The 27,926-nt window shown below is 49.7% G+C and overlaps 2 long non-coding RNA genes across 2 annotated transcripts, besides 7 other annotated features; both read left to right on the top strand.

The window, feature by feature from the left end:
- The first annotated feature begins 183 nt into the window (after positions 1 to 183).
- On the top strand, positions 184 to 3,499 carry LOC124909430 (uncharacterized). Its single transcript, XR_007096077.1, has 2 exons — positions 184 to 513; positions 1,932 to 3,499. It is a non-coding gene; the product is annotated as an uncharacterized LOC124909430 (long non-coding RNA).
- Positions 404 to 698: an enhancer, noted in NCBI's record as "tiled region #3129; HepG2 Activating DNase matched - State 8:EnhW". NCBI's record gives its function as "activates a minimal TATA promoter and a strong SV40 promoter by Sharpr-MPRA in HepG2 cells {active_cell/tissue: HepG2}" and the evidence as "EXISTENCE:reporter gene assay evidence [ECO:0000049][PMID:27701403]".
- Positions 1,667 to 2,167: an enhancer, noted in NCBI's record as "H3K4me1 hESC enhancer chr3:128309380-128309880 (GRCh37/hg19 assembly coordinates)". NCBI's record gives its function as "activates a minimal SCP1, AML or CMV promoter by ChIP-STARR-seq in primed H9 embryonic stem cells {active_cell/tissue: H9 hESC(primed)}" and the evidence as "EXISTENCE:reporter gene assay evidence [ECO:0000049][PMID:30033119]".
- A 13,118-nt stretch (positions 3,500 to 16,617) lies between the features above and the next one.
- On the top strand, positions 16,618 to 20,704 carry LINC01565 (long intergenic non-protein coding RNA 1565). The gene is made up of 3 exons (NR_125802.1): positions 16,618 to 16,889; positions 17,318 to 17,438; positions 18,401 to 20,704. It is a non-coding gene; the product is annotated as a long intergenic non-protein coding RNA 1565 (long non-coding RNA).
- Positions 23,092 to 23,768: an enhancer, noted in NCBI's record as "OCT4-NANOG-H3K27ac-H3K4me1 hESC enhancer chr3:128287779-128288455 (GRCh37/hg19 assembly coordinates)". NCBI's record gives its function as "activates a minimal SCP1, AML or CMV promoter by ChIP-STARR-seq in naive H9 embryonic stem cells {active_cell/tissue: H9 hESC(naive)}" and the evidence as "EXISTENCE:reporter gene assay evidence [ECO:0000049][PMID:30033119]".
- Positions 23,764 to 24,058: a silencer, noted in NCBI's record as "tiled region #8284; K562 Repressive non-DNase unmatched - State 23:Low". NCBI's record gives its function as "represses a minimal TATA promoter and a strong SV40 promoter by Sharpr-MPRA in K562 cells {active_cell/tissue: K562}" and the evidence as "EXISTENCE:reporter gene assay evidence [ECO:0000049][PMID:27701403]".
- Positions 23,764 to 24,447: a biological region, named in NCBI's record as "OCT4-NANOG-H3K27ac-H3K4me1 hESC enhancer GRCh37_chr3:128287100-128287778".
- Positions 23,769 to 24,447: an enhancer, noted in NCBI's record as "OCT4-NANOG-H3K27ac-H3K4me1 hESC enhancer chr3:128287100-128287778 (GRCh37/hg19 assembly coordinates)". NCBI's record gives its function as "activates a minimal SCP1, AML or CMV promoter by ChIP-STARR-seq in primed H9 embryonic stem cells {active_cell/tissue: H9 hESC(primed)}" and the evidence as "EXISTENCE:reporter gene assay evidence [ECO:0000049][PMID:30033119]".
- Positions 25,126 to 25,804: an enhancer, noted in NCBI's record as "H3K27ac-H3K4me1 hESC enhancer chr3:128285743-128286421 (GRCh37/hg19 assembly coordinates)". NCBI's record gives its function as "activates a minimal SCP1, AML or CMV promoter by ChIP-STARR-seq in primed H9 embryonic stem cells {active_cell/tissue: H9 hESC(primed)}" and the evidence as "EXISTENCE:reporter gene assay evidence [ECO:0000049][PMID:30033119]".

Raw genomic sequence — 27,926 nt, 5'->3', positions numbered from 1 at the left:
ACCACCGCACTGGCTAATTTTTGTATTTTTAGTAGAGATGGGGTTTCACTATGGCCGCCAGGCTGGTCTTGAACTCCCGACCTCAAGTAATCCACCTATCTCAGCCCCCCAAAGTGCTGGGATTACAGGCATGAGCCACCGCACCCAGCTTCCTCCCTCTTTTTTTTTTTTTTTTTTTTTTTACAGCTGTGTAGTGTTCCATTGTAAGTGTGTATCGTAGATTATTTAAGCCGTCCCTCATTTATGCACATTTGGGCTGATTCCAGTTTTTTTTTTTTTTATTGTGTGTGCTCCAGGAGACAGAATCTTTCATGGTGGAATTCCAGACACAGAGGAAGTATTTGGGATCAGGGGCTTCCGGGTGCTCTTAGGAGCACCTGTGTCCACCTCAAGGTCAGGAGTCCTTAAGACAGAAGGAGTCCTTGCCTGGTTGTCACAGGGCAGACCCTGTGCATGTGTGTGTCAGCGTGCTTCCTTCCGGTGGCACCACAGGCCTCCTTGTGACATCTGCAGGTTGGTGACTCAGAATGCTGTTCAACATTGATCTCTGCCCTCACTTTTTCCTCTTCTCTTCTCCCTACACCCTTCCATCTGACCAACGGTGCCCAGTGTGACCTCCAGTGAAGATCTCTTGGCTTTAATAAGCCAAAAAGGTGGTCTTGAGCCAGGACAGTTAAAGTTTAGGTTCCTTATTTGGTTTATTTGTAGATAGATGGGGAGCTGAGAAGTCTGGCTAAGATTTTCACTTTGCGATCTTACAGTCAGGGCACAGTGACAGCTCCTGCTCTTCCTGGGGCAGTGCAGATAGAGCTGTAGTTCTGCTTTGACAGTTGATGAATTTTTGTGAAACTGGCAACAACTCAGGCCCAAAGAGACATTTGCAGGTTGGGCTCCTGCCTGGTTTTATGTTTACCTCCTTGATTATTTCTGGTGTGTGGGTTTTGAAAAGGGAAATCACATGCAAACAATCTCATGGATGTATCCTTAAAACGGCTCCTTTTGTCAAGTCAGGAATTTTTTTTTTGAGATGGAGTCTCACTGTGTCACCCAGGCTGGAGTGCAGTGGCGCTATCTTGGCTCACTGCAACCTCTGTCACCTGGGTTCTAGCGATTCGCCTGCCTCAGCCTCCCCGAGTAGCTGGGATTACAGGAGTGTGCCACCACGCCTGGCTAATTTTTGTAGTATTAGTAGAGATGGGGTTTCACCATGTTGTTCAGGCTGGTCTTGAACTCCTGACCTCATGATCCACCTGCCTCGGCCTCCCAAAGTGCTGGGATTACAGGCATGAGCCACTGTGCCCGGCCAAGTCATGAAATGTTTAAGTGAAGGTTCTCTCTGGAACGTGACTTCCCCACGTTGGGCCCTAGGAATGGCTTAAAGTTGGATTGTAGATTCAAAAGGTCTTGATTTTCCAGGATGTGTGGCATAGGTGAGCATAATGAAACCTGACATTCCCATTTGACCGCTGGCCCTCTTAGGACCTGACTGTCCTAAGTGCCAGGAACAGCAGCATGTCCCACTTGGTGTTCCTTTGAGGGCTGGGCTGTAGGAGCAGCTTAAGAGGGACCCCTAGTGACTGCATGGAGCGGTGTCGCCTCCGCACCCTAGGCCAGGCTGGCTCTAGCATCTGCCTGTCCTGGCAAAGGAAGGTCCTTGGGGCTTGGGCCCACAGGACTTGCCAGCAGTGTCACCCTTGCCTCCGGGACAACGGCTTCACGTGGTCTCCTCTTCCTAACGGGGCTCCCTTTCCCAGGTAAGCTTTCTCCAACAGCCTCAGCTTCCTACACCCCTAAACTCCCCTTCCTCACACTTAGCTTTTCCTCAGGGGGCCCGACTTTCCCCTCTGCAACTTCTCCACAGTGGGAGGAGCCTCCATGCAGGTTCTGGCCCCAGCCTCCCTTCTATTGAGGTCCATCTTTTTCCTTCACAGGCCCCATCTCTCTCCTTGGGGACCGTGGGGCACAGGACAGTGGAGGCCTGATCCCTATTGCATGTGGTGAATCTTAACTCAAGCCTTCAACATCCTCCTTGAAAGAGGGGGATATCAAGAGAATGAAAACATGGGCCACACAATGAGGGGAAATATTTGCAAAAGACATAGTCGATAAAGAACTATTATCCAAAATATACCAAGAATGCTTAAGACAACCATAAGAAAACAGGTAGGTGCTCTAGCTCACACCTATAATCCCAGCACTTTGGGAGGCCGAGGTGGGAGGATTGCTTGAGCCATGAGCTCAAGACCAGCCTGGGCAACATGGCGAGACCTTGTCTCTTCAAAAAATACAAAAATTAATTGGCATGGTAGTGCACACCTGTAGTTCCAGCTACTCAGGAGGCTGAGGTGAGAGGATTGCTTGAGCCTGAGATATTGAGGCTGCAGTGAGCCATAAGTGTACCACTGCACTCTAGCCTGGGTGACAGAGTGAGACACTGTCTCAAAAGAAAAAAAAAAGAAACCAAATAACCAAATTTAAAAATGGGCGAAAGATCTGAACAGACACATCAACAAAGAAGATACACAGATGATGGCAAAGTGCATAGGAAAATATGTTCAACATCATATGCCATCAGGGAAATGCAAATTAAGACAACAATGAGATACTACCACACACCTATAAGAATGGCCCAAATCCAGAACATTGACAACACCAAATGCTGGCAAGGATGTGGAGCAACAGGAACTCTCATTCATTGCTGTGGGAATGCAAAATGGCACAGCTACTTCAGAAGACGGTTTGGCAGTTTCTTACAAAACTAAAACATACCCTTACCATACAATCCGGCAATCACACTCTTTGGTATTTACCCAAATGAATTGAAAATTTATGTTCACACAAAAACCTGCATGCAAATGTTTAGAGCAGTTTTATTCATAATGCCAAAACTTGAAAGCAACTAAGATGTCCTTCAGTAGGTGAATGGATAAACTGGAATGCATCCAGACAATGAAATATCATTCAGTGCTAAAAAGAAATGAGCTATCTCAACCATGAAAAGTCATGGAGGAAGAATGCCTGTTACTAAGTGAATCTGAAAAGGTTACATGCTAGATGATTCCAATTCTATGACATTCTGGAAAAGGCAAAACTATGGAGACAGCAAAAGGATTAGTGGTTGCCAGGGGCTGGAAGGGGATGGTGGGGATAATGGATGAATAGACAGAATATGGGGGAGTTTTTAGGGCAGTGATAACATTCTATGTGATTCTACAATGGTGATTATGTGCCATTATACATTTGCCCAAGCCCATAGAATGCACAATACCAAGAGTGAGCCCTCATGGGAGTGAGGGACACTGGGTGGTGATGATGGGTCCAGGCAGGTTCATTGATTGTGCTAAATGCACCACTCTGGTGGGGATGGTGATAGTGTGTATGTGGGGGGACTGGGCATGTGTGGGGGCAGGGGGCACATGGGAACTCTGTACTTTCTGCTCAATTTTACTATGAAACTCAAACTGCTCTAAAAAATAAAGTTTATTTTAAAAACTGAAAATGAAAATGAAACAAAAGAATTTGAACATACAATCAAAGAGATTCGCTAACAGAGCTGAAAGAAGGGCATTTCTCATTCAGCGTAAATTCATGCTTCACTACTGTTCTCACTCCTTATAGTGACTCCAGATTAATATATACACATGTTTATAGATCTTCTAATGATCTGGGTGAGTATAATTACATTGCAATATTTTTTTTTTCCTCATAACAGCTTTAAGGTGTTAAACAGAAACACTTAAAACATCCTGTAATTTGGGATTTAGAAATTTTTAAATATTCTGCTGGGCATGGTGGTGGCTCATGCCTGTAATCCCAGTACTTTGGGAGGCCAAGGCGGGCAGATCACCTGATGTTAGGAGTTCGAGACCAGCCTGGCCAACCTGGTGAAACCCCATCTCTACTAAAAATACAAAAATTAACCAGATGCAGTGGCAGGCACCTGTAGTCCCAGCTACTTGGGAGGCTGAGGCAGGAGAATCACTTGAACCCAGGAGGTGGAGGTTGCAGTGAGCTGAGATCGCGCCACTGCACTCCAGCCTGGGCAACGAGAGCAAAACTTTGTCTCAAAAAAAATTTTTTTTTTTTTAATATTCTGGTGGGCCCCACAAATGGAAGTAGTTATGGCCCCTCTCCAGTGTGAAGGGCCCCACCCTCAGTCCCTTTCACAGGCCAGAGATGTCTCACCCCTCAGGCCCTTCTTCACTCCTCACGTGGTCTCCTACTCAATCCCGAGGTGGGACTCCCTCCTGTCATTCCCCATGGTGACACTTCACGTTGCTTCACCTCAACTCAGCTGGCTCTGTTGGCCCTGAGGCCCCCTGCAGAGCCCCAGCCGGTGTGCAGGGCTTCCTCCTCAGGCACTCCAGGAAGCCCTGGAGTTTCTTTCGTGCAGCTTCTCTGTCACCCCCTACGACAGCTCACAGGTCTGAGCTCGCCAAGCCGGGGGAGGCAAATGAGCAGATCTGGGCTATTCCAACTCGAGCACTCCTGATGTCACTGTGAACCTAGGTTTGTGGCATGAGAGAAAGCAGATACACCACGTGAGATGCAAAAGGTTAAATTAAAAATCCCAGGGTAGTGAATGTGATTGTCTTGTTTTTTTTTTTTTGAGACGGAGTCTTGCTCTGTCACCCAGGCTGGAGTGCAGTGGCACAATCTCGGCTCACTGAGGCCTCCGCCTCTTGGGGTCAAGCAATTCTCCTGTCTCAGCCTCCCGAGTAGCTGGGACTACAGGCGTTGCCATCACACCTAGCTAATTTTTGTATTTTTAGTAGAGACGGGGTTTCGCCACGTTGGCCAGGCTGGTCTCGAACTCCTGACCTCAGGTGATCCACATGCCTCGGCCTCCCAAAGTGCTGGGATTACAGGCGTGAGCCACTGTGCCTGGCTGAACTTGTGTATTTTGTGCTAAGATGTTACGTGTATTTTTTCCTGGCTGTTCAATGAGAGGCCTGAAAACAAGGCCAAAGGTAAGCACCCTTATGTTCTAATTGTGTTCTCTAAACACCATTCCCCACTGAAAGAAACCAGGGGTTGGCAGACAAATGGCTGATTCCAGGTCTGGGGCAGAAGAGGAGCAAGATGAGGACATCTAGTAGCACTAGAAAGCAAGGATAGTATGCAGGTCATATAGGTTAGATGTCTATCCCTGCCCAAATCTCACGTTGCAATGTAATTCCCAATGTTGGAGGTGGAGCCTGGAGGGAGGTGTCTGAATCATGAGGCTGGATCCCTCATGAATGGCTTGGGCCATCCCCTTCATAACAAGTGAGCTCTTGCCCTGAGTTTTTGCGTGATCTGGTTGTTTAACAGTGTGTAGCACCTCCTCCGCCATTCTCTCTCTTTCTCTATCTCTCTCTCTCTCTTGCTCTCGCTCTCTCTCTTGCTGTGTGACACGCCTGCTTCCCTTCTCCTTCCACTATGACTAGAAGGATCCTGAGGTCTCCCCAGAAGCCAAGCAGATGTTGGCACCATGCTTCTTGTACAGAATTGTGAGCCAGTTTAAAACCCTTTTCTTTTCTTTCTTTCCTTCCTTTCCTTTCCTTTCCTTTCCTTTCCTTTCCTTTCCTTTCCTTTCCTTTCTCCTTTCCTTTCCTTTCCCTTCCTTTCCTTTCCCTTCCTTTTTTTTTTAGACAGAGTTTCACTCTGTCGCCCAGGCTGGAGTGCAGTGGTGTGGTCTTGACTCACGCAACCTCCACCCGCCAGGTTCAAGTGATTCTCCTGCCTCAGCCTCCCGAGTAGCTGGGATATAGGCACTCGCCACCACGCCCAGCTGATTTTTGTATTTTTAGTAGAGACAAGGTTTCACCACGTTGGCCAGGCTGGTCTTGAACTCCTGACTTCAGGTGACCACCCGGCTCAGCCTCCCAAAGTGCTGGGATTACAGGTGTGGGATTACATGCCCGGCAAAATCCTTTTCTTAATAAATCACCCAGTCTCAGGTAATTCTTTTTTTTTTTTCTTTTTTTTGAGATGGAGTCTCGCTCTGTTGCCCAGGCTGGAGTACAGTGGCGCAATCTCGGCTCACTGCAACCTCTGCCTCCCAGATTCAAGTGATTCTCACTGCCTCGGCCTCCTGAGTAGCTGAGATTACAGGCATGCACAACCATACCCGGCTAATTGTTTGAATTTTTAGTAGACCTGGGGTTTCGCCATGCTGGCCAGGCTGCTCTTGAACTCCTGACCTCAGGTGATCCCCTGCCTCGGCCTCCCAAAGTGCTGGGATTGTAGGCGTGAGCCATGGTGCCCAGCCGATTGCTGCTAATATTATAAAAGAGGCACAGGCAGCCATGATATGCCTCCTGATGAAAGAATGATTGCCACCTAGAGAGGATCTTGCCAAAAAAAAATCAGATCTGAATCCAATCAAGCATCTATAGATCCAACTACCGATTCAGGAAATGCAAAGGAGAAAGAATGTGCGGCCCGGTGACTCTCAGGCTTCCGAGTGTTCATGAGTCCCTGGCGGGCTTGCCGGGTGAAAAGTCTGGTACAGCAGGTCTGGGTGGGGCTTGAGACATTCTGCATTGCTAGCACGCTCCCCGGGGAGGCCGTGCTGCTGGCCCACAGACTACTCACCCTGAGTCGTGAGGTGTTAGATGATGCCATCATGGTGCAAACGGCAAAAGCACATCAGGATAAACTCTAGGGGATGAACAACATGGTTTTCTTCAACAAATACATTGAAAGAAAGGAAGGAGACTGGGCACAGTGGCTCATGCCTGTAATCCCATCACTTGTGAGGCCGAGACAGGCCTGGGCAACATGGCAAAACTGTGCCTGTTATCTCAGCTACTGGGGAGGCTGAGGCATGAGAATCACTTGAACCTGGGAGGTGGAGGTTGCAGTGAGCCGAGATCACATCATTGCACTCCAGCCTGGGTGACAGAGTGAGACTTTGTCTCAAAAAAAAAAAAAAAAAAAAGAATGAAAGAAAGGAAGGAAGGAGATTAAAACAGTCTTAAGACACATCAACCAGTTGCAGCAGGGGTCCTTCATTGAATCATGATTCCAAAAAAAGTGACACTTGTGAGATAATTGGAAATTTGAATACTGACCAGGTTAGTTAGCTAGGGCAAAGTACCATAAACTGAGTGGTTTCTTAGAATAACAAAAACTTATTTTCTCCCCATTCTGGGGCTAGAAGTTAGATATCAGCTGTTGGCAGGGCCACGCTTCCTGGAAAGGCGCTTGGGAAGGTCCCTCCTTGCCTCCCCCAGCTTCTGGTGGCCACAGACTTTCCCTAGCGTGTGGCAGCATCGTTTCTCATGTGGCGTTCTCCCTGTGTCACTTTGCTAGTCTTCCCTCTGTGCGTGTCTGTTTCTGTCTAAATTTCCCTTTTTGATAAGGACACTAATCATGTTGCATCAGGGCCCACCCTAATGACCTCATTTAAGCTTGGTTACCTCTGTATGGACCCTTTCTCCAAATAAGGTCACATTCTGAGGTCCGGGGAGTGGGACTGCAGCATAGCTTTCTGTTGGGGGGTGGGGACACAACTTAACCCATTACACTAGATTTCTGAGACTGTCAAGGAGATGGCACTAATTTTCTAAGGTGTCATAATGGTATTATGGTTATGTTTAAAAAGTTTCTGTTTTCTTTTAGATAAACATCCAAAAGACTTACAAATGAAATGTTATGATATATACAGTTTGCTGTAGAATGATACGGGGGCGGCAAATGTGCAGCAGTAATAGACGAAGTGACCCTGGCTCATGTCCATAATTGTTGAACCCAGGGGTATATGGGGTCAGTATATTATTCTGTTTACTTTCATAAAAGTTTGATGTTTTTTATAATAAAGGTAAAACAAAAAGAGAAAAACGAATAGCAAGCAACAAAAACAAGAAACTTTCCACAGAGCTGACTCGGCCCCTCCCTTGACCCTCCTTGTACTCCTGGAGAGGGTCCCCACGGGCCTCCCCCTTGCACAGCAGCCTGGCTGGGGCTTCCCTCCTAAGTCCCCCATCCCCAGGCTTCCTTGTGCCCAGAAACTTCCCCTGAGCCCCGTTGCCACCAGGGCTGCCTCCACGTGGTGTCCCTGCTCCCAGCCCGCTCTCGCCTGCACAGGAAGAGCCAGTGCAGTCTTTGCCCTCATGGGGGCAGCCACCACTCAGGGAAGAGATGCCCGGCCCTGGCACAGCTGCAGGCTGGAGCTCCGCCCCAGTGGGTACTGCTGTGAGCCAGTCTGCTACATCCTCGTCTTCGGCCGGCCTGATGGCCTTTGAAAGGACAGTGGCTGGGATGTGCTTCTCTTGAGAAGGAAAATTCAGCCTGACTCCACTTGGGTCAGCTCTCCTCGCCTGGCTCTTTGAGGGGCTCTGGGCCAGGCCTCAAAGGCACGGCATTAAGGCCCAAAGATCCCCTGGGAGGAAGGCCCCATCAGCAGAGGGAAGGAGGCTACTAGCGAGTGCCCCCTAAGAACTCCTGTGATCTCTGTCCCAGGGCCCTTCCCCTCCACGGGGAGAGAGCCTTCTAGAACCATAAACAATGACTACAAGACAAACAGCCTTGTGACCAATGATGGGAGCTTGCAAGTGTTTACACTGCGTAGATCAACACCTTTAAGAAAAAAACTTAACAATGAAGCAAGTCTTAGGTAAAATGTCCCCTGACCTCTTTCGGGTCACACACGGCATCTCCCAGGCCTTTCTCCAAGGGCATCTTCCGAGGCTGACCCCTTCCCCACCATGATCCCACAGGGCTGGAAGGGTGGAAGGGAGGAAGTGCAGGGAAAAAGGATGTAGCAAGGGGTCTCATGCACTCTATCCATCCATGTGAATATCCCTGTCCTCTATAAATAGGAAACCATCCAGGCAGATGTTTTTTTTCTGCAAGTGTAGACTGCGAACTGCATGCTGCGGCCTGAAGAATCCCACCAGCTAGTGACGCCCCAAGCACACCCTGTTCTCCCACCAGGGGTTTCCACCCTGTCTCCACCCTGGAATCTCAGAGAGTTTCCAAATGCCCCTCCCCAGATGGAGGAGATCAGAACCACTTTCTAGTTTCCCCAAGTGATGGCAAGGTGCAGCTAGGGTAGGTGATCAGGAAGGTCTCTGTCCAGCATGAGATGAGGTGCCCGAAGGCGATGGAAGGCAGGTGCCAAGGCACATTTCTGGTGGATGGAGACTAGTAATAAAATGACAGGGACAACGTTGGGGTAAAGGGTCTCGGATTGGGGGAGGATGAAACCAGGGTGGAGAACTTGAATAACGGATGACATTCAAAAAGCACCCACTCTGCAGGGGCCTCTTTCAGGCTGCTCTTTTTTGGCGTGACTTTGGCTCCACAATGGCCCAGGCGGAAGAGCCACAGGGATGCTGAGGCCACTGCAACCTTCAAGGTGGGCGTTTCCAGGCAGAGGAGGCAAGAACAGTTGGTGGGTGGGCCAAGAAGGACCTTGCATCCTGTCTCAGCGTCTGTGGACTTTGCCTTATTTGTGAATTTTAAGCAGCATCAGATTTGTGCTTTAGAAAAATTGCTGCCATCTGAAGCGGGGATGGGTTGGGGAGAGACTGGAGTCAGGAAAACCAAGTGAGGAGGCTGTTGCCTTGTTGGGAAATAACACCACCATGCACTGCAGCTGGGGCTGGAGGTTTGGCGGGGAGTGGCTAAGGTGGGGAGTGTGGGTGGGATGCAGAGATGGGGAGATCTCCCTTTCCCGGAAGGCATCTGGATGTTCCCAGAGTTCCCCACAGCTCTACAACTCGGGCAAAGAAGGTCAGCCCCTTTTTCTAAGACGGTCCTCACTCCCAGCCTCTTTCTTCAAGGCTCGGTGCCTCCATGCTCCTTGCCACCATTCATGCTGGTGGAGGAGGCTGCTTGTGGGTTGCTGTGAATATCTCAACTCTTCCTAGGGGAGGTGAGAAGCCTCCTGCACACAGGCTATGTTGCCGCCACTCTGTGTCACCAGAAACCACATCAGAAATTTCCCAAGATTTGATCAACATCAAATTGATGACACTTTGACCTGCAATCTGCCTTGGTATGTAAATATAGCTGTTCTTTCAGATTAGACGTCGACAGGCTTCTATTTCTCCTGCACAATCAAATTGGTTTGATTTGCTGTTTCAGAAACCATGTTCTTTACAGTTGATCCCCACACATCTAGTAATCCCTGTGCTTAAGAGAGAATGCAAGAGTCCGGAGACACAAGTAAAGCCCAAATGGCCAGAGCCAGGATTCCTCTTAGGGAGGGAACCCCCATTACTCAACAAAACACCTTCTTGAAGTATGCTGGAAGGGGATGAGTTGTGGTTTGGAAGGAGACGGGAAAACAGAGCTAACTGTCATATGAAGAAATAAGCTATGATTTGATGGCCGGGCCCGGTGGCTCACGCCTGTAATCCCAGCTGCTTGGGAGGCTGAAGCAGGCGGATCGCTTGAGCCCAGGAGTTCGAGACCAGCCTGGGCAACAGGGCAAAACCCCATCTCTACTAAAAAATACAAAAATTAGCCAGGCGTGGTGGTGCGTGCCTGTAATCCCAACTGCTCAGGACGCTGAGGCAGGAGTATTGCTTGAGCCCGGGAGGCGGAGGTTGCAGTGAGCTGAGATTGCGCCACTGAACTCCAGCCTGGGCAACAGAGTAAGACTCTGTCTTAAAAAAAAAAAAAGTAAGAAAGAAAAAAGAAAGAAGCTGTGATTTGGGAGGGCAGAGAGCTGAAGAGAGGGGGAGGGGTGGGAGGAAGGGGGCGCCAGGCCACGGAAAAGGGAGCCACAAACGAATCTTGGTGATGGGGTTATTGCTGGGCTCCTAATTGCTTTTGTGAAGGGATAATAAAAACTTAGAACACCAATTCACTCTGCCAAAAGAAAAAAAATTAAGCTGAAAGCTGAGTTATGCAAGAAGCTGCCTTTCCTTTTGTTCCTAAGCAGATAGTGACAGATAAAAAGTTAAAGATCTCCACAGGTAGCTCCTCTCCATTCACCTTATCTTATAGTGAGCACCAGGCCAGTTCATTAGTGACTATGTGCCCCTACCTGCTTCTTTTCTCTTGCAACATTTGGATTCAGTAATGAGACCACACCTTCCCTCTGTCCCCTCCAGCTGGCTTTTCCTTTTTAAATATTGGAGTGCTCAGAATCATCTTTGGAAAAAGGCATAGACTTGTCTCTTAGGCACACATCCTTAACCCTGGCAAAATAAACTTCTAAATTGATTGAGGCCTACCCCAGATACTCTCTGGTTTACACTTCTATAAATCTCTGTGAGTTAGGGTGTTCCTACTTGATGAAGGTTTACACTGCTATCATTAAAGTGCCCCAAATCATCAGTAAAATCCACTCAGGTGTCTTAGGTGAGCCATCTTGGGAGCACAGGGTGGATTAAGGAGAAGCAGTGCAGTTCTACCTTCAGGCTGGTGCAGAGATGAAGGACGTGGCAGATGAGTGAGAACGTGGGTCCACACGGAGTCACAGGTGATCAGGAGAAGAGCAGCCACCAGGGCACCAGGAGAAATCTTGGAGAGAGCCCTGGACAGGCCACAGGATGAAGGCTCGGTGGCATGGCCCCACATTGAGCTTCCAAAGTCAGGGCGACCCCGAGGAACACCTGGGTTTTATATAGATATATACAGAAGCCACCACATACACCTGCCCACCAGGATAAAACTACCCTGTTTCAAGGTACATATTAAATAAACTCAGCTCAAAGATAATTTCTACAGTAGGACTCAGGATTTTTTTTTTTTTTTTTGGTTTTAAGAGACTGACTCAACCCAAACTGACATAAAGAGGGAAAAATAATTTATTGGTTCTTTCATTTAGAAAGTCAGGGGTAGTTGGCTGGGCGCGGTGGCTAATGTCTGTAATCCCAGCACTTTGGGAGGCCAAGGCGGGCGGATCACGAGGTCAGGAGATCGAGACCATCCTGGCTAACATGAAGAAACCCCGTCTCTAATAAAATAAAAAAATTAACCAGGCGTGGTGGCGGGCACTTGTAGTCCCAGCTACTTGGGAGGCTGAGGCAGGAGAATGGCATGAACCCGGGAGGCAGAGCTTGCAGTGAGCAGAGATCGCGTCACTGCACTCCAGCTTGGGCGACAGAGCGAGACTCTGTCTCAAAAAAAAAAAAAAAAAAAGAAAATCAGGGGTAGTTGCAGGCATGGCGGACTTAGGGGCTCATTGGGTCAGCAGGACTCCATGTTTCTCAGATCTGGGCTTCCTTCTGAATTCTTTCCTGTTGGCTCCATTCTCAGGCAGCCTGTCCCCTCCTGGTGGCAGGTGGTGATAATGAAATGCAGAGAATTTTGATGTGTCCAGAGGAAATTAAACCACACACACACACACACACACACACACACACACACACACACACACACACACACACAGAGAAATATTCCTGAATAATGCCAACAGAAACTCGTTCCCAGGGTGTAGCTGGAGAGAGTTTCCATGAACAGAAACGGGGTTTGCCTTTGGAGAGAGTTCTCTTGTTTCAAGAGAAGAGAAAAACTGGCAGTAGACCCAAAGCAAGAGGAAATTTAAGCAGGTGGGAGGTCCTTTGGGTCAGAGTCAGCCTGGTCTAAGCCTGGCAGGACAACCTGCTTGCTTCCCAGCCTCCCTTGCAGCTAGGTTGGTCATGTGACCCTGTTCTGGCCAATGAGGCACAAGCAGAAGCCAGCTTGGAGGAATCCAGGCAGAACTTTTGCTGTCCTTGGAAAGCAGGATGGTAGCTGAGGCCTGGGCCAAGCCTTCCCCTCTTGTCCTTGAGCACTTGAGTTGGGTTCACCAATGCTGCTTCTTTCCTCCTGGACCAAAGCCATGCCTCGGAGTCCCAGCTTAGGAAAAGGTTTAGTTCTTGCTAAACCACACCTATCTATCTATCTATCTATCTATCTATCTATCTATCTATCTATCTATCTACCTATCTATAGAGAGAGATAGAGATGTAGATATATAATAGATATACACAACATATACATATATACACACATCTATGTATGTATTCTTAATTCTTAATTGGTGTGGTTTAGCAAGAACTAAACCTATATATGCAACTCTCTCTCTCATATATATATACATATATGCAACACACACACACATATATATATGCAGAGAGAGAAAGACTTGCTCTGTAGCTCAGGCTGGAGGGCAGTGGTGCTATCATAGCTCACTGCAGCCTTGAACTCCTGGGCTTAAGCAATCCTCTTTTTTTTGAGATGGAGTTTCGCTCTTGTTGCCCAGGCTGGAGTCCAATGGCATGATCTCGGCTCACTGCAACTTCCGCCTCCAGGGTTGAGTCTTGCCTCAGACTCTCGAGTAGCTGGGATTACAGGCGACTGCCACCATGCCCAGCTATTTTTGTATTTTTAGTAGAGACAGGATTTTACCATGTTGGCCAGGCTGGTCTCGAACTCCTGACCTCAGGTGATTCACCTGCCTCGGCCTCCCAAAGTGTTGGGATTACAGGCATGAGCCACCGCACCCGGCCTCAAGCAATCCTCTTGCTCAGCCTCCCAAAGCACTGAGATTACAGGTGTGATCCACCACAGCCAGCCAAGAATATATATATATATATATATTCTTCAATTACAAAAGCAATACGTACTCAATGTAAAAAGTTAAAATAATACCGAAGTATGTATAATAAGTGCAGTTCCCTCACCTCCCCTTGTCTCACTAAATCCTGACACTGCAGAGGTAGCCACGGTTCATGGTTTTGGGGGAATCCTCCAGACCTTTTTCTGTGCTATATATATATATATATATCCATGTTTGTGTATATGCGTATATATGTGCCATCCTGCAGCTGTCCCCACTGAAGTCCGTGATGTCCACACACATGAACATATCTAGATCAGCCTCATTCTTTTGTGTGGCTCCAGATGGCCCCATGCTGGGTTCAGTCTTAACTTATTTAGGTATTCCTCTGTGAGTGGACACTGAGGGCATCATTTTTTTCCATGAGAATACTAGTATTTGTAGCTTCATTGTCTTATTTTCCCAAGAAAAAAGAAGCCACTGTGATTGTTCTCATCAATGACATGTAGTGCGTGGCCGCTGTGTACAGGACAGTGTGCTCTACTGAGGGGTGTGGGACAGAACGGGATGGGATTGCCCGCTCCTGAGGGCTTGGCTGAGTGGTGGGGAGAAGTATGTCAAAAGGTGAGGTCACCGCCTGAGGACTGAGTGAGGTCGCCTGGGAGGAGGGGCATGAACCCAGGTGTTTGCTGGGGTGGGCCTCATGGCAGGAGAGGCCTTCGGTGCTGGCTCTGGAACCCTGGGGAGGAGTCTGTGGAGGGAGGGGTGGTGGGGTGGAGGTGCCCTGGGTCAGGGAACAGGGTGGCCAGAGATGCCGAGACAGGAAGAATGAGCAGACCTGGTTCTTCAGGTGTGCCCAGGAAGCACCGTTCTTTCTGACAAAAGTGAAATTAAGGTGCCAGAACTCATTATCTGGCCTTTCTCCGCGTTGCGAGGCCCATCCTTGCTTCTGTGGTGTTATTTTCCCTCTCTCTCTCTCTTTTTTTAAAATAAAAATAACTATGAAGGGTTCAAGGCGCCTTTCTTTCACAACATCTCAGCTCTTAGGTCCCAGCGGTGCATCGGTGGCAAAGAATGTCCCCTGTCACCACGGCTGCTTGCCTTTATTTGAAGTGTCTGGCTGAGCTATCTCCCTGTGACATGCTTCTTTCAGAGCGAATTATTCATCCCCCCACAGCCCCCACCTCTCCCGGCCCTGGGCTCTGTTCATCCCCGCAGGTGTGAAGACAGGCCCGGCCTTTGTGTGTGAGGAGCCTGCCCCCTCCTTGGCTCCCCTCTTGGATCCCCTCCAGGCCTGTCAAGGCTTTCCTCGCTCCAGGCCCTTGCGGTGTGCGGGGCTGATGTCTCCTGTCATCCAGGGAGGGCTGCGCAGCCTCCAGCCCGCCTCTAATCTCCCCCTCCACAAAGGGCAGCCCTGTCACTCAGGGAGGCAGTGGGGGAACCTGGATCCGGGGCCACACAATGAACCATCCACCCTGCCTGAGTAGGAGGAAGCAGCCTAGCAGAGGTGGCTGTTGGGGCAGAGGGCAGGTGGGCAGGGGCCTGGGCAGAGAGGGTGAGAGCTCAGCCATCTTAAGCCACCGAAGTCAGGGAATCAAGCTTATTTTGGTGGAGTACACAAGTGGCATAGGCCAGGTGCAGTGGCTCACATCTGTAATCCCAGCACTTTGGGGGGCTGAGGCAGGAGGATGGCTTGAGGCCAGAAGTTCAAGACTAGCCTGGGCAACATGGCGAGACCCTGTCTCTGCAAAAAATAAAAAAAAAAAGCTGGATGTGGTGGCGCCCACCTATAGTCCCAGCTACTCAGGAGGCTGAGGTGGGAGGGTCACTTGAGCCCAGGAGGTGGAAGCTGCAGTGAGCTATGATTGCACCTCTGCACTCCAGCCTGGGTGACAGAGCGAGACCCTGTCTCCAGCAAACAAATAAATAAAACAAGTGGCACAGAGCAAGCTGGCCAATCCTGGTAGTGCTGGCTAATGGTTAGTGCAGAGGGGGCAGTCTCGGTGGCTGACTTGGAGCCATCCTACAAAAATGAGGGAGGTACCTATAGAAATAGGGTCAGCTTCCCCATCCTCCACCAGACTCCAGAATTCTTCCTCAGCCTCCTGCATTAGTGGTGATGAAAAACCGATGCAGGGATGCAGGGGTGGAGTGAGCAAGCCGAGACCAGCCTGGTGCCCAGGGTCAGGAGCCTGCTCTTTTGAGCCTCAGTCCCCTGTGTGTCCACAGGAAGCACAGTGCCTGCTGCCTGGGGGGGCCTGAAGACACAGGATGGGTCCCCGTTGTGGAGGTGCCCGGGCAGCACCTGCATATAGCAGGTGCTCACTGTTGGTGTTGGCATGGTGGCACAGAGCAGAGGTGGAAAGCAATGTGCCGCCTGCAGACAGGCTTTTGTGACCTACCCCGTGTCTAGAAATGTATCTTCTGAGTTACTAACAAGGAAAAATGTGGCCACACAAGGTCCACCTTACTTCAAGGCATGGCAGGCTGGGTAGAGCAGTGCTGCCCTTGGAGATGGCACAGGGTCCCCCCTGCCTGCACCCCTGGGTTCTCCTCCACCTCCTGCCACTCCCCCTTTGTACACCAGCTGGTGACACTCAGTCACAAGCTTTCGTTGGCTCCTGAGACATTTGAGGTTGAGAGCTCTGGGACCTGGAGCAGACTCGGGTTTGCATCCCACCACTTCATTCGCGACCTGTGTAGTCAACCTTGCTGAGCCTCAGCGTCCTTATCTGTAAAATGGGACTCACGATCTTCACCAAATGAAAACAAGCATACATCACCTGCCCCTGAACCTGGAAGAGAGAGCGGATTCCCAACCAAAGAGAAGACACATTGCTGAGGCTGCCTCACCATGGCTCACTGCTGACAGCATGGTGTGCACTCCACAGGGCTCAGCTTTCCCCGTGGGTGGGCAGCGTGACCCGGGCAAGCAGGCAGGGCTGCCAGGGCCTTGGCCTCGGCCCAGCACGGAGCGGGCAGGGGCTGTGGCCAAGGGTCTCTGGAGGAGGCCACGTCTCTGCAGAGGAGACCCCTCCTGAAACACCCTCCAAGCTGGAAGCTGGCCCCTCAGAGGGGAAAACAGGTGCCGTGGGCGACTCTGAGCTCCCCACTGTAAATTAATCCACCCGAGCAATTGGGAACAGAAAGTGCTTCCTGTCCCGGCCTGAGACAATGGACAATAAACCCAGCCTGCTGGGCCCCGGCCCCTGACCCCAAGGCTTCAGGAAGAGGCTCCCACACGCACACACCTGCGGTGTGTGAAGCTCGCATTGTTCTGGGCTCATGGCCGAGTAGGGCCCCTTGCTCTCAGGAGCCTCCAGCTCTTTCTGGACCTGAGCCCTGGGAGCCTTCACTCTGCCCAGATGTGCTTCCTGTGGAAGGAGACCCCCAGATGACACAGGTGAGCAAGCGTCCTTGGGTTCGGGTTCATTTGATGCGTATTCTTGAAGCCCCTACCACGCACGGGGTCTGCACACCAGCAGCACAGTACAAAGCCTTTCCAGAAAGGCTGTGGTCTCACACCTAGCACCAGACAGCACACGGGCCTGCCCTTCTCCTCCTAGCACACAGACAGGGCCATATACATCCTGCTGGGGAAGGCCCGGTGGAGGCGGCTCCTTGGAGTGAAAGGCCCTGAAATGCCAGAGGCTCCTGGGATGTGAGGTTCCTTCTGGATTTCTGAGGCTGATAACTGAATACTCTCGACTCGAATAGATGATGAGCTTGTGGAACATCGTGTGCATGTGCACGCCACCACGAAGTTAGTAATCAATCTTGCTTGCTGGGGCCATGTGTGTGTCCACATTTTGTCTTTTAATTTTTTTTGAGATGGAGTCTTGCTCTGTCACCCAGGCTGGAATGCAGTGGCATGATCTTGGCTCACTGAAACCTCTGCCTCCCGGTTCAAGCAATTCTCCTGCCTCAGCCTCCTGAGTAGCTGGGATTACAGGTATGCGCCTCCATGCCCAGCTAATTTTTGTATTTTTAGTAGAGATGGGGTTTCACCATGTTGGCCAGGCGGGTCTTGAACTACTGACCTCACGATCTGCTCACCTCAGTCTCCTAAAGTGCTGGGATTACAGGCATGAGCCACTGCGCCTGGCCTCTTGTCTTTTAATTTTATTTTGAGTTGGGGTCTCACTCTGCCACTCCGATTGGAGTGCAGTGGTGCTATCATAGCTCACTGCAGCCTCAACCTCCTGGGCTAAAGCAATCCTCCCACCTCAGCCTCCTGAGTAGCTGGGACTACAGGCATGCACTGCCATTCCTGGTTAGGTTTTAAACATTTTTGTAGAGATGGGGTCTTGCTACGTTGCCTGGGCTGGTCTGAAACTCCTGGGCTCAAGTGATCCTCCCACCTCGGCGTCCCAAATTGCTGGGATTACAGGCATGAGCCCCACACCCACCTCAATGTCTTTTAAAGTCATTAAAAGACAATTATTTTGTCTTTTTTTTTTTGAGACAGAGTCTCTCTCTGTCGCCCAGGCTGGAGTGCAGTGGCACGATCTCGGCTCACTGCAAGCTCCACCTCCCGGGTTCACGCCATTCTCCTGCCTCAGCCTCCTGAGTAGCTGGGACTACAGGCACCCGCCACCACAGCCGGCTAATTTTGTTTTTGTATTTTTAGTAGAGATGGGGTTTCACCGTGTTAGCCAGGATGTTCTCGATCTCCTGACCTCATGATCCGCCCGCCTTGGCCTCCCAAAGTGCTGGGATTACAGGCGTGATCCACTGCACCCGGCCTCATTTTGTCTTTTAATGAATAATGGACTAGCACAGCCTTAGAGAAGGAAAGAGCAGAGGTTCTATGTCCAGTCAGTGGGGAACTGGGAGATTCATTCCGAAAGGCTTTGAGGAGGAACCGGGCCCGGGTCACTCTTTGAAAGGGTGGCTCTCCCATTTTTCCTGCAGAAAATCTGAGCAGTGGGTGAGGCCGAGGGACTGCCCAGAGCCCCAGAGCACGGCAGTGGGCAAGCAGTCGTCCCTGTCCTGGGCATCCCTGTGGCCATGGAGCTCCTGGGTGAGCAGCTGCTCTGAGACAAGTCTGGTGAAGAATACAGCAGGACTCCTGAACATTCTTCCTTAAATGCTTATCTGTGGAAACCAGAACTGCCCTTGGCGCGTGGCTCGTGGACGTGCTGGGTGGCTGGGTGGGGCGGGTGCACGGGTGGAGCCTCAGCTCTGTTTCTTTCTCTGGGTAGTGTCCCCACTGCTGGGCTTCTCCCGCTCTCAGCTCTCTGGGGAGGTCCCCTGTGAAGGGCCTGTCTTTCCTGTCCCCTCCCTCGGATCATTAATGAACCACTCTCTCTCTCTTTTTCCTTTTCAGTGATTGGGCTGTCGGAATCAAAGAGGCCCTCCGGTGACTCAGGCGTTTCCCATTGCCCTATTCTAGCATCCTCTACTCTTAGCACTGAGAGTTTTTCACGTCCTATTTGGAACTGATAGGAAACCCTTTCATTGTTTCGCTACATGGATATTAGCACTGATGAAGGAAGCGCTCCATCAGATAGTGGTCCGCTGCAGTGAGCTGGTTTCCAGCACGAGCCTGCCTAGACTCAGCGTCTCCCGCCTCCAGGGACCCCCAGACTCTCAGCCCCTAGGCACCCTGGGCCAGGGTGGTTGGAAGCTTCTAGGCATTGTGGGGTCTCTGGCACCAGAGACACTCGGGGGTCTGGGGACCGAGTTTGGGCCCTGTACCCACCCACTACCATTTGACATGGTGAGAGAGAGAGAGAGAGATGACGAGCTCAGGCAGGGATGGCTTCTCCAGTGCCCACAATGTGCCAGGACTCTGCTGTGCCACTGTGGGCCTTTCCTCACCCCTCCCTCCCAGACATCAAGCTCTGGTTTCCAGCTGTGTTCCTTGAAGCCGTCGGGCTCTCTGGTGACAGCCACAGAGCCTCTGAGCAACTTTGCTTTCAGCTATTTTCCATGACCCAGTCCTGGGTAAGGCTTCATTTGAATGAAGGGTTCTGCTGCTAAAAAAAAAAAAAAAGTCGGAAAAACCACCTGATCACAACTTTCTAAGGCAGCTATTTTGTTTTGCAATGAGATATTTGCAGTGGTTTCACTAAAGCCTGATCTTCCCACTGGACTGTCGGCCTGTGAGGATGAGGACGTGTCTATCACAGTCAGTATGCCCTGAATGAATGGGTGTCACCCTCCTCCCCCTAGTGAGAGATAAGGACCTCAGGCTCAGAGAGGTTATGTGGTTTTCTCAAAGCCACACAGCAAGATTTGGCAGGTGAGCCTTACTTCTCTTCCTGGGCTAGCCTGCGGTCAGGGGCAAGGCTTTTGGATGATAAGAGTGAGGTGCAGTCAGCTCTAGATTGGGGGTGGCAGAGGGAAAAGGAGGGGGGGTTCCCAAAGCACCATTCTGCTTTCTGTGAGAAGGGATTTCCCCTCAACAACTTCTGTCCCATTTTTCAGAGCTAAAGTGACAAGCCACATCCACGTCCCTGGTTAAAGGTGCTCCCCCTGCAGGAAACACATGTGCACTTGGGATGGAGCCCTCTGTGCGGGAGCGGCTTGCTCACCTCTCAGCCAGTGCCAGCTGGGTGGGTCTCTCCCAGCTCTCGAATCCTAACTGCAGCCACCATTTATTCAGCACCTGTTATGCACCAGGCACTTTATGTATCTTATTGCTAACCCTCAAAACAAGCCCTTCCCAACATAAGCGCTTTTGTGCCAAACCCATAGGTCTGAAACTGAGACCCAGAGAGGCTGAATGACATGCTCACAGTCACACAGCAGGCAGTGGCAGGCAGTAGTGAAGTCGGCTCTATGGATTGTATACCTGGGCTCCTCCAGGCCTCTGCGCTGCCCGGCCTGATACCCTAGCAGGTTGGGTATTCAGAGGTGCCTGGGGAGCTTGTTAAAAGTGTAGATTCCAGGCCTCCTTACCCTTAGAGACTGTGACTCAGTATCCGGGGCAGGGCCCAGGCATCTTCATTTTGACAGGCCGTCCCGGTGGCTGCCATGCGCAGGCAGGTTTTAGGAACATCATGGGTGGATGATTCCTGGTCTCCCCAGCCCTCTTGACCTGGCCACAGAGAGCTGCCTTTCCAGCGAGGTCAGCCGAGATGACGCTGCCGGGAGAGCAGTCTTCTCTGTAGTCCCCGGAGGGGACTCCTCGGAGGAAGGATGAGTCTGAGGGTTCCGGTTGTCTTGGCCTGAGACCACCCAAGGTCTTTTAACAGAAAAAAACTTTACCCATTCCCAGTGTTGATTTCATACCTTTATTTTATATATCTATTTTTATTGTGGTGAAATACATATAACAATAAAATTGCTGGGCGTGGTGGCTCACGCCTGTAATCCCAGCACTTTGGGAGGCCGAGGCGGGCGGATCACGAGGTCAGGAGATCCAGACAATCCTGGCCAACATGGTGAAACCCTGTCTCTACTAAAAATACAAAAAAATAGCCGGGTGTGGCTGCACACACCTGTAGTCCCAGCTACTCAGGAGGCTGAGGCAGGAGAATCGGTTGAACCTGGGAGGTGGAGGCAGCAGTGAGCCGAGATCGCACCACTGCATTCGAGCCTGGGCGAAAAAGTGAGACTCCATCTCAAACAAAACAAAACAAAACAAAACAAAACAAAACAATAAAATTTACCACCATAACCATTTTAAAGTATAGAGTTCATTGGCATGAGATACAATCATATTGCTGTGCAACACTCACCACTGTTCATCTCCAGAATGTTTTTCATTGTCCCAAACTGAAATTCTGCACCCATTAAACACTAACTCCCCATTCTCCCTCCTCCAGCCCCCGGCAACCACCTTCTACTTCTCTGTGTCTGTGAATGTGACTGCTGGGGATCTTATATGAATAGAATCATGCAGGACTTGACTTTGTGTGCCTGGCTTATTTCACTCAGCATCATGTCCTCCAGGTTCACCGATGTGGCAGCAGAGCTCAGAACCTCCTTCCTTTTTAAGGCTGTGTAATAGTCCATTGTGGGACAGGCTGCATTCATTTATCCATTCATCTGTAGATGGACACTTGAGTTTCTCCCACCTTTTGGCTATTGTGACTTTGGCTTATTTTAACATTATATAAAATGAGGCCAGGCATGGTAGCTCCTACCTGTAATCCCAGCACTTTGGGAGGCTGAGGTGGGAGGATTGCTTGAGCCTAGGAGGTTGAGGCTGCAGTAAGCTGAGACCAAGCCATTGCACTCCAGCCTGGGCCACAGAGCAAGACTCTGTCTCTAAAAAGTCAGCCAACCAATCAATCAATCGTTCAATCAATCTGTGCTCACCTAAAGCTAAACATTGGTACTGTCTACTCCTACAACAAGATGAAAATGAAAGATAAGTTAAATCCAACCAAAATTACAAGATGAATAAAATTCAAGTGAATGGTATTAGTCTATGCCAATGAATAATGCTGTCTTGCTTGAAACAGGAATGTGGTGCTGATGGGCTCAGTGCAGCTTCCGTGGAATCTGGCACATTCTGTAACCACTGTGACAACTCCCTTTTCCTCCTCCTTTTCTCTGTTTGAACTCCTGCAAAGCCTCAGTGTCTTAAAACACATCCAAGTGCCATTGCCCTTCTCTTGTCATGAATGCGTCCTTTCTATCTGACATCCACCTTTCTTTCCTTAGTATCCTGTGGCCATTAAAGTCGCACCGAATGGCTCTCAGGCCATGACCAAACTGAACATTGGGACTGGAATTTTGCAGGTGCAAATAATCATGGAAAATGACTTCCTAAAGTTAAAAACTCTTGGTGAACTAGCAGTCTGGAGACCATGCCCATTGGCCCCAGCTGCAGAGGCGGTGGTCCAACCTCCTCTTCAGGTTGCTTCCACCTGCCTGTGTAGTTCTCTGCTGTCTGAAGTTACTCTCTGGTCGCCCTGGTTATCAGGAGGCTTCAAGGCTGTGCTGGCTGACTGCAGATAGCATCTCAATCTATTTCCAAATCCGAGTCCCCACGAGGCACCTGTCGGGTTCTTCTCCACTTCTATTTATTTATTTATTTAAAGACAGGGTCTTGATCTGCCCCTAGGCTGGAGTGTAGTGGTGTAGTCATGGCTTGCTGCAGCCTCAACTTCCTGAGCTCAAGCCATCCTTCCGCCTCGGCCTCCCGAGTCGCTGGAGGCCACAGGTGTGCACCACCATGCCTATTTATTTACTTATTTTTGTAGAGATGGGGTCTCACTTTGTTGCCTAGGCTGGCCAACTGCTGGCCTCAATAGATCCTCTCGCCTCAGCTCCCCAAAGTGTTGGGATTACAAGCATGAGTCACCGCACCCTGTGGCTTTTTCACTTTTAACTCCCAATGCATTGCCATGCAGAAAGGCTATGCAAGATCTGAGATAAGAAAAACCCCCTCCCCAGATTATGGACCCTGCACCATGCCTTTGGCATTTGGGACCTCTCTTTCCTGATTTCTTTCTTCTTTTCTCCCCCAGGCATGGGCCATGCAGAACTTTTATTATTATTTATTTATTTATTAACTTTGAGACGGAGTCTCGCTCTGTCATCCAGCTGGAGTGCAATGGCATGATCTCGGCTCACTGCAAGCTCCGCTTCCCGGGTTCAAGTAATTCTCCTGCCTCAGCCTCCCAAGTAGCTGGGATTACAGGTGCCCGCCACCACGCCTGGCTAATTTTTTGTATTTTTAGTAGAGACAGGGTTTCACTATGTTGGCCAGGCTGGTCTCAAACTCCTGACCTCATGATCTGCCCACCTCGGCCTCCCAAAGTGCTGGGATTACAGACGTGAGCCACTGTGCCCGGCTTCAACTTTTATTATTTTTAACAATATGACTCACCATTATTGAGCACCTACTATGTGCCAGAGACTGTGCTAAGTTGTTAAAAAAATTTTTTTTAGAGATGGGGTCTTGCTATGTTGTCCAGGCTGGTCTCAAACTCCTAGCCTCAAGTGACCCTTCTGCCTCAGCCTCCCACAGTGCTGGGATTACAGGCGTAAGCCACGGCTCCTGGCCTATACTAAGTTCTTGACACCCGCTGTCTCTGTGTCCTCAGTGCACCCCAGGAAGGACCGTAGTGCTTCTGCTCCCTGCATGGGGACCTTCAGAGAAGTCCAGTAGCTCTCCTGGGACCACACATGCAGGAAGTGGCAAGGCCAGGTCTGGCTCACCCCTCTGAGGCTCCACACTGTCCCACCATTGGGTTCATTCTTTGGGTAAAATGTTGGGCTGGGTGCTGTCTGGTTCTATCAGTGGGAGAGACTGGCTTTGAAGCCATTCCCAGGCCGCCCCTGCCCCAGCGCGGGAAGTTGGCCGTTCTCTTCTGGGCTGGCGCTTCCTGAGGCAGCCAGTGCTGGAGACAACAACCATCTTTCTCCCAACATCAGTTTTTCCCTCCATTGTTTAATGACTGCGGCTCTAATCTGACTCCGTTCTGTTCTCTTTCATTGTAAATGTGTGGGGGCCCTTTAGGCGGGATGAGTAAACCAGGCTTCGGGGGGCTAGCTGGGGCACCCACAGCCATTTATACCATTGTTTATGTGGGAAAGCGGTTTCGTCATCCAAACAACAGCCTTACAAAAGAATGTTAGGAACACAATTAGTTTGTAAATTGGTCACTTCCTGTCTTTGTTGGGGTGGAGTGAGGATGGGCACAGTAGTTAGTTTTAAATACTAAATGAGATAGTACATGAAAAAAAAAAAAGCCCAAAACACAGTGATTAGGGCACTGGACCCTCTCAAAAAATTCGTAGTCACCACGACATTCTTATTATTGTTATCATCGTTTCACATGATGGTAAAATCTGTGTGGCTCAGGAAGGCAGAACAGAGACCAGTGAGTTGCAGGTGGTGACCTTCTCCTGGAGTAAAGGGCTTCCTAATCCATCAAGTCCATTCACAGTGGAGCAGACTGGCAGTGAGCTCCCCCATCCCTGAGGGTGTTCAAGCAGAGGCTTGGCCTGGGCAACAGGACCCTTGAACATTCCATCCAAATGTCGAGTTCTAGCTTCTCTCCCTCCCTCAGCAAGCCCTCAGCTGGGGCCATGCTGCCCCCCGCCCCCAACAGCCAGCACACATCGCTGCTTTGATTCTGCAAAATGGACCAAGCAGCTGCAATGGACTTGCCGGACAGCAGAGCGCAATTGCCAAAGGCAAGGACTCTGGAGCGTGGAGGTCCTGGGTTCGAATCCTGACTTTGCCACTGCCCAGGAGCTTAAACATAGGCAGGGGACTAACAGTTTCTGGGCCTGTCAAATCGGCCCAGTGAGTAGCACTGATCAGCTGAGGCTCTCGGGAGGATTACATTAGGTAAAATATGTAAAGTGCCTAGTTTGGAACAAGACTCTAGTTCCATCACCTGCCAGCAGGGCAAGTCACTCAATCTCTCTGAGTGTCACTAACTTCAGCTCTGAAGCCGGGTGGTGATGTCTTCTGAGCACAAGGTCACGGTCATCGTGATGCTGGCAGCCACTCTGGGAAATATCAGGCACAGGGTGGACCCTTGGCAGGTGGTGATTATCCCAGCCTTAGCCAAATCCATCCCCTGTGCCATGAAGCCCCCCTCAGTTTTTCTTTCTAATAACAGCTAACCCTGAGCATGTGCCATGTGCCAGGCATGGTGCTAAGCAATTTCAATACAGTAACTCACATTCTCAGTACAGCCCTGTGGAATGGGCAGTGTTGTCATAGCCGCAGCATGGAACGGGCAGGGGAGGAGTGCAGAGGAGTGCAAAGGGACTCACTCAGATTCACACAACCAGTTAAATGGCAGGGCCAGAGTCTGACTGCAAAAGTCTTGCTCAAGAGAAGATCAATCTGCAGACCCACAAGGCTGGCCAGCTAAGTGCCCTGTGTCCAGCCGTGTCCCTTTGCCACATTGGTGGTGGCCCCGGCATGCCCGACTATGGTCTGGCTGGGAGTGTAAGGTGCTCACGGGCTCAGGGAGGGCTTGGAACCTCCCTTTGTACTCACCAGCACCACGCTCTGAGCCTCCGCAGACCCCATGTAGATAGTCTCTGGGAAGTCAGTTTCTCAATCTTGACACCCACCCCCCACAGCTCAGGCTGCAAAAGCCCTGGCCTGGACAAGGTGGTGTGGCCAAGAGGTAATGTGGAGAGGGGCAGTAAGTCGGGAGGTGGCTGCTGTACCCTGGCCCTACGACCAAGGCTGTGACTTTGTGCAATCTAGCCGAGCTCTCTGAATTTCCCTTCCTCCTCTTTTTTATTGAATATATATATATTTAACACAGATGGGGTCTTGCCATGTTGCCAAGGCTGGTCTTGAACTCCTGAGCTCAAATGATCCTCCCACCTTGGCCTCCCAAAGTGCTAAGATGACAGGTGTGAGCCACCATGCCCAGCCCCTTCCTCCTCTTTTAACATGAAGAGTCACTAGAGATTTCCCAGTAGCAATTCCAACACAAACTTTCTCTCAGTTAGGACAAGAGCTAGAAATACTATTTATGTTGGTGGGAAAGTAGATTAGGACAATACAATCAAGAAGAGAGACCTTGAGCGAGGCTGAATGTAGGAAGTGGCTAAAATATTGACCAAAATTCCTCCTGAGACCTTAGAGTTCCCTTTGTAAATAAGCTGTTCCCTACCGTGAGAACTAGGGATAGGGAAGGTGAGCAGATGGGCTGAGCTGGGGCCTAGGGCAGAAGGAAGAAAGGACCAGGGGTTGTACTGTACTCAGTCTCTCTTTTCCAGAATGTCTTCAGAATCTGTCTTCTAGATTGTTCCTTCCCTGTCAGATTTTGAGGCAGAGGCTTGGCTCTCAGACCTCCTGTGGTGATGCTGTTCTAATCTGTGACTTGCTTTTGGGCCTTTGTTTCCCATTCCCTGCAATTAAAGCACACTGTCACCAAGTGGCAGTGGTGTTTCTATCTTGCCTATGTGCTCGGAAGATTTAACGGTGGCTGTGAATTCAACCAGAACTGAAGACATTGGCTTAAATTTTATTTTATTTTATTTTTATTTTTTGCGACAAGCCTTGGTCTGTTGCCCAGGCTGGAGTGCAGTGGTGTGATCATGGCTCACTGCAGCCTTGACCTCCCGGGCTCAAACAATCCTCCTGTCTCAGCCTCCCAACTAACTGGGACTACAGGTGTGTACCACTATATTCAATTAATTTTTAATTTTTTTATAGAGATGAGGTCTCACTATATTGACCAGGTTGGTCTCGAATTCCTGAGCTCAAGTGATCCTCCGGCCTCAGCCCCCTAATATGTTGGAATTACAGGCGTGAATCACCATGTCTGGCCTTTTTTTTTTTTTTTTTTTTGGTGGAAACAGAATTCTGTATTAGCATTTTGGCTGCTGCGAGTTGCCAACTCTGTTCTTAATACTGCCTGCCTTTAGGAGTCCATAGTCGCAGACCTTTTCCCTCAGATTCTCATTACATTCCTGATATAACATCATGGTAGAGATCTCTTTAGGAATGGAAAGGGGAGACTCCTTCCGTGGAGTGAAAAGCTTGTCTTTTTCCTTTGAAAAATGAGGTGAGACTTTTGATTTTTGCAAAGGCACTAGGTGGTTTGTAGCAGCCCTTCCACTGAGGACGCCCAGAGGAGCTGCACAAAACAGTCCAGTCGAAGGCCTGCCGGAAGGCACTGGAGAGCTGACGGTGGGATGAAGATCCACGCAAAGGAAACATGGGGAAAGGTGAGCTCAGCATTTGGGGTCACTTTTTCCTTGAGGGCGATTGCCAGTGTCAGAAGAGGTGGCTGAGGGCTGAGCGGTGCTTTCGCAGATTGTGAGGATAACGGAGAGAAGGTGGTGGGAGCTTGTTCCTGGCTTGCATTTTTGGTTGGGACCGCGCAGCACTACACCCGGGCATACGGGTGGACTGGAGACCTGCACCAGTCCTGGCGAGATTTGCTGCTCAGTTTCAGAGAATATCAAACTCTACAGCTGGATTTAGGATTGCCCATGCCCTCGGCACCTGGAAGAAGCCATTTGAATACCTTTCTGGAGGAAGATAGCAGCATTCTAGGTCTCATTATTTCTATTAACAATGTTTAAAATTTTAACGTCAAGCACACAATAATAGTAGCTAGGCCCAAGCAGAAACAAGACTGCACGAACGAATGCCAGGAGAGACAACAGATAACAGAAAACAGACAAGAAGAAACGGATGCCTCTCATTTTGGAAAATCAAAAAAGAAAAAAAAGAGTGAGAAATGGACAGATCCACAATTATAGTAGGAGGTTTTTATATACTTCTTGCTTCTCTCACTAACTCATAGAACAAGCAGAAATATATCAGTAGGATATACAGATTTAAATAACATGATCAGCCAACTTCAGACAGATACAACAACTACTCAGGTTACACATTTTTTTCAAGCCCACATTGGAAATTTACCAAAATGGATTCATACTGGGAAACAACTCTCAAAAACGTTTCAAAGAATTGAAATTATACAAAATATATTCTCTGACCACAATATAATTAAGTTAGAAATACTCATTAAAAAGATAACCAAGT

This window comes from Homo sapiens, chromosome 3 (assembly GCF_000001405.40).
Source record: "Homo sapiens chromosome 3, GRCh38.p14 Primary Assembly".
NCBI classification, from domain to species: domain Eukaryota; kingdom Metazoa; phylum Chordata; class Mammalia; order Primates; family Hominidae; genus Homo; species Homo sapiens.
This window is presented reverse-complemented; position numbering and strand designations above follow the sequence as displayed.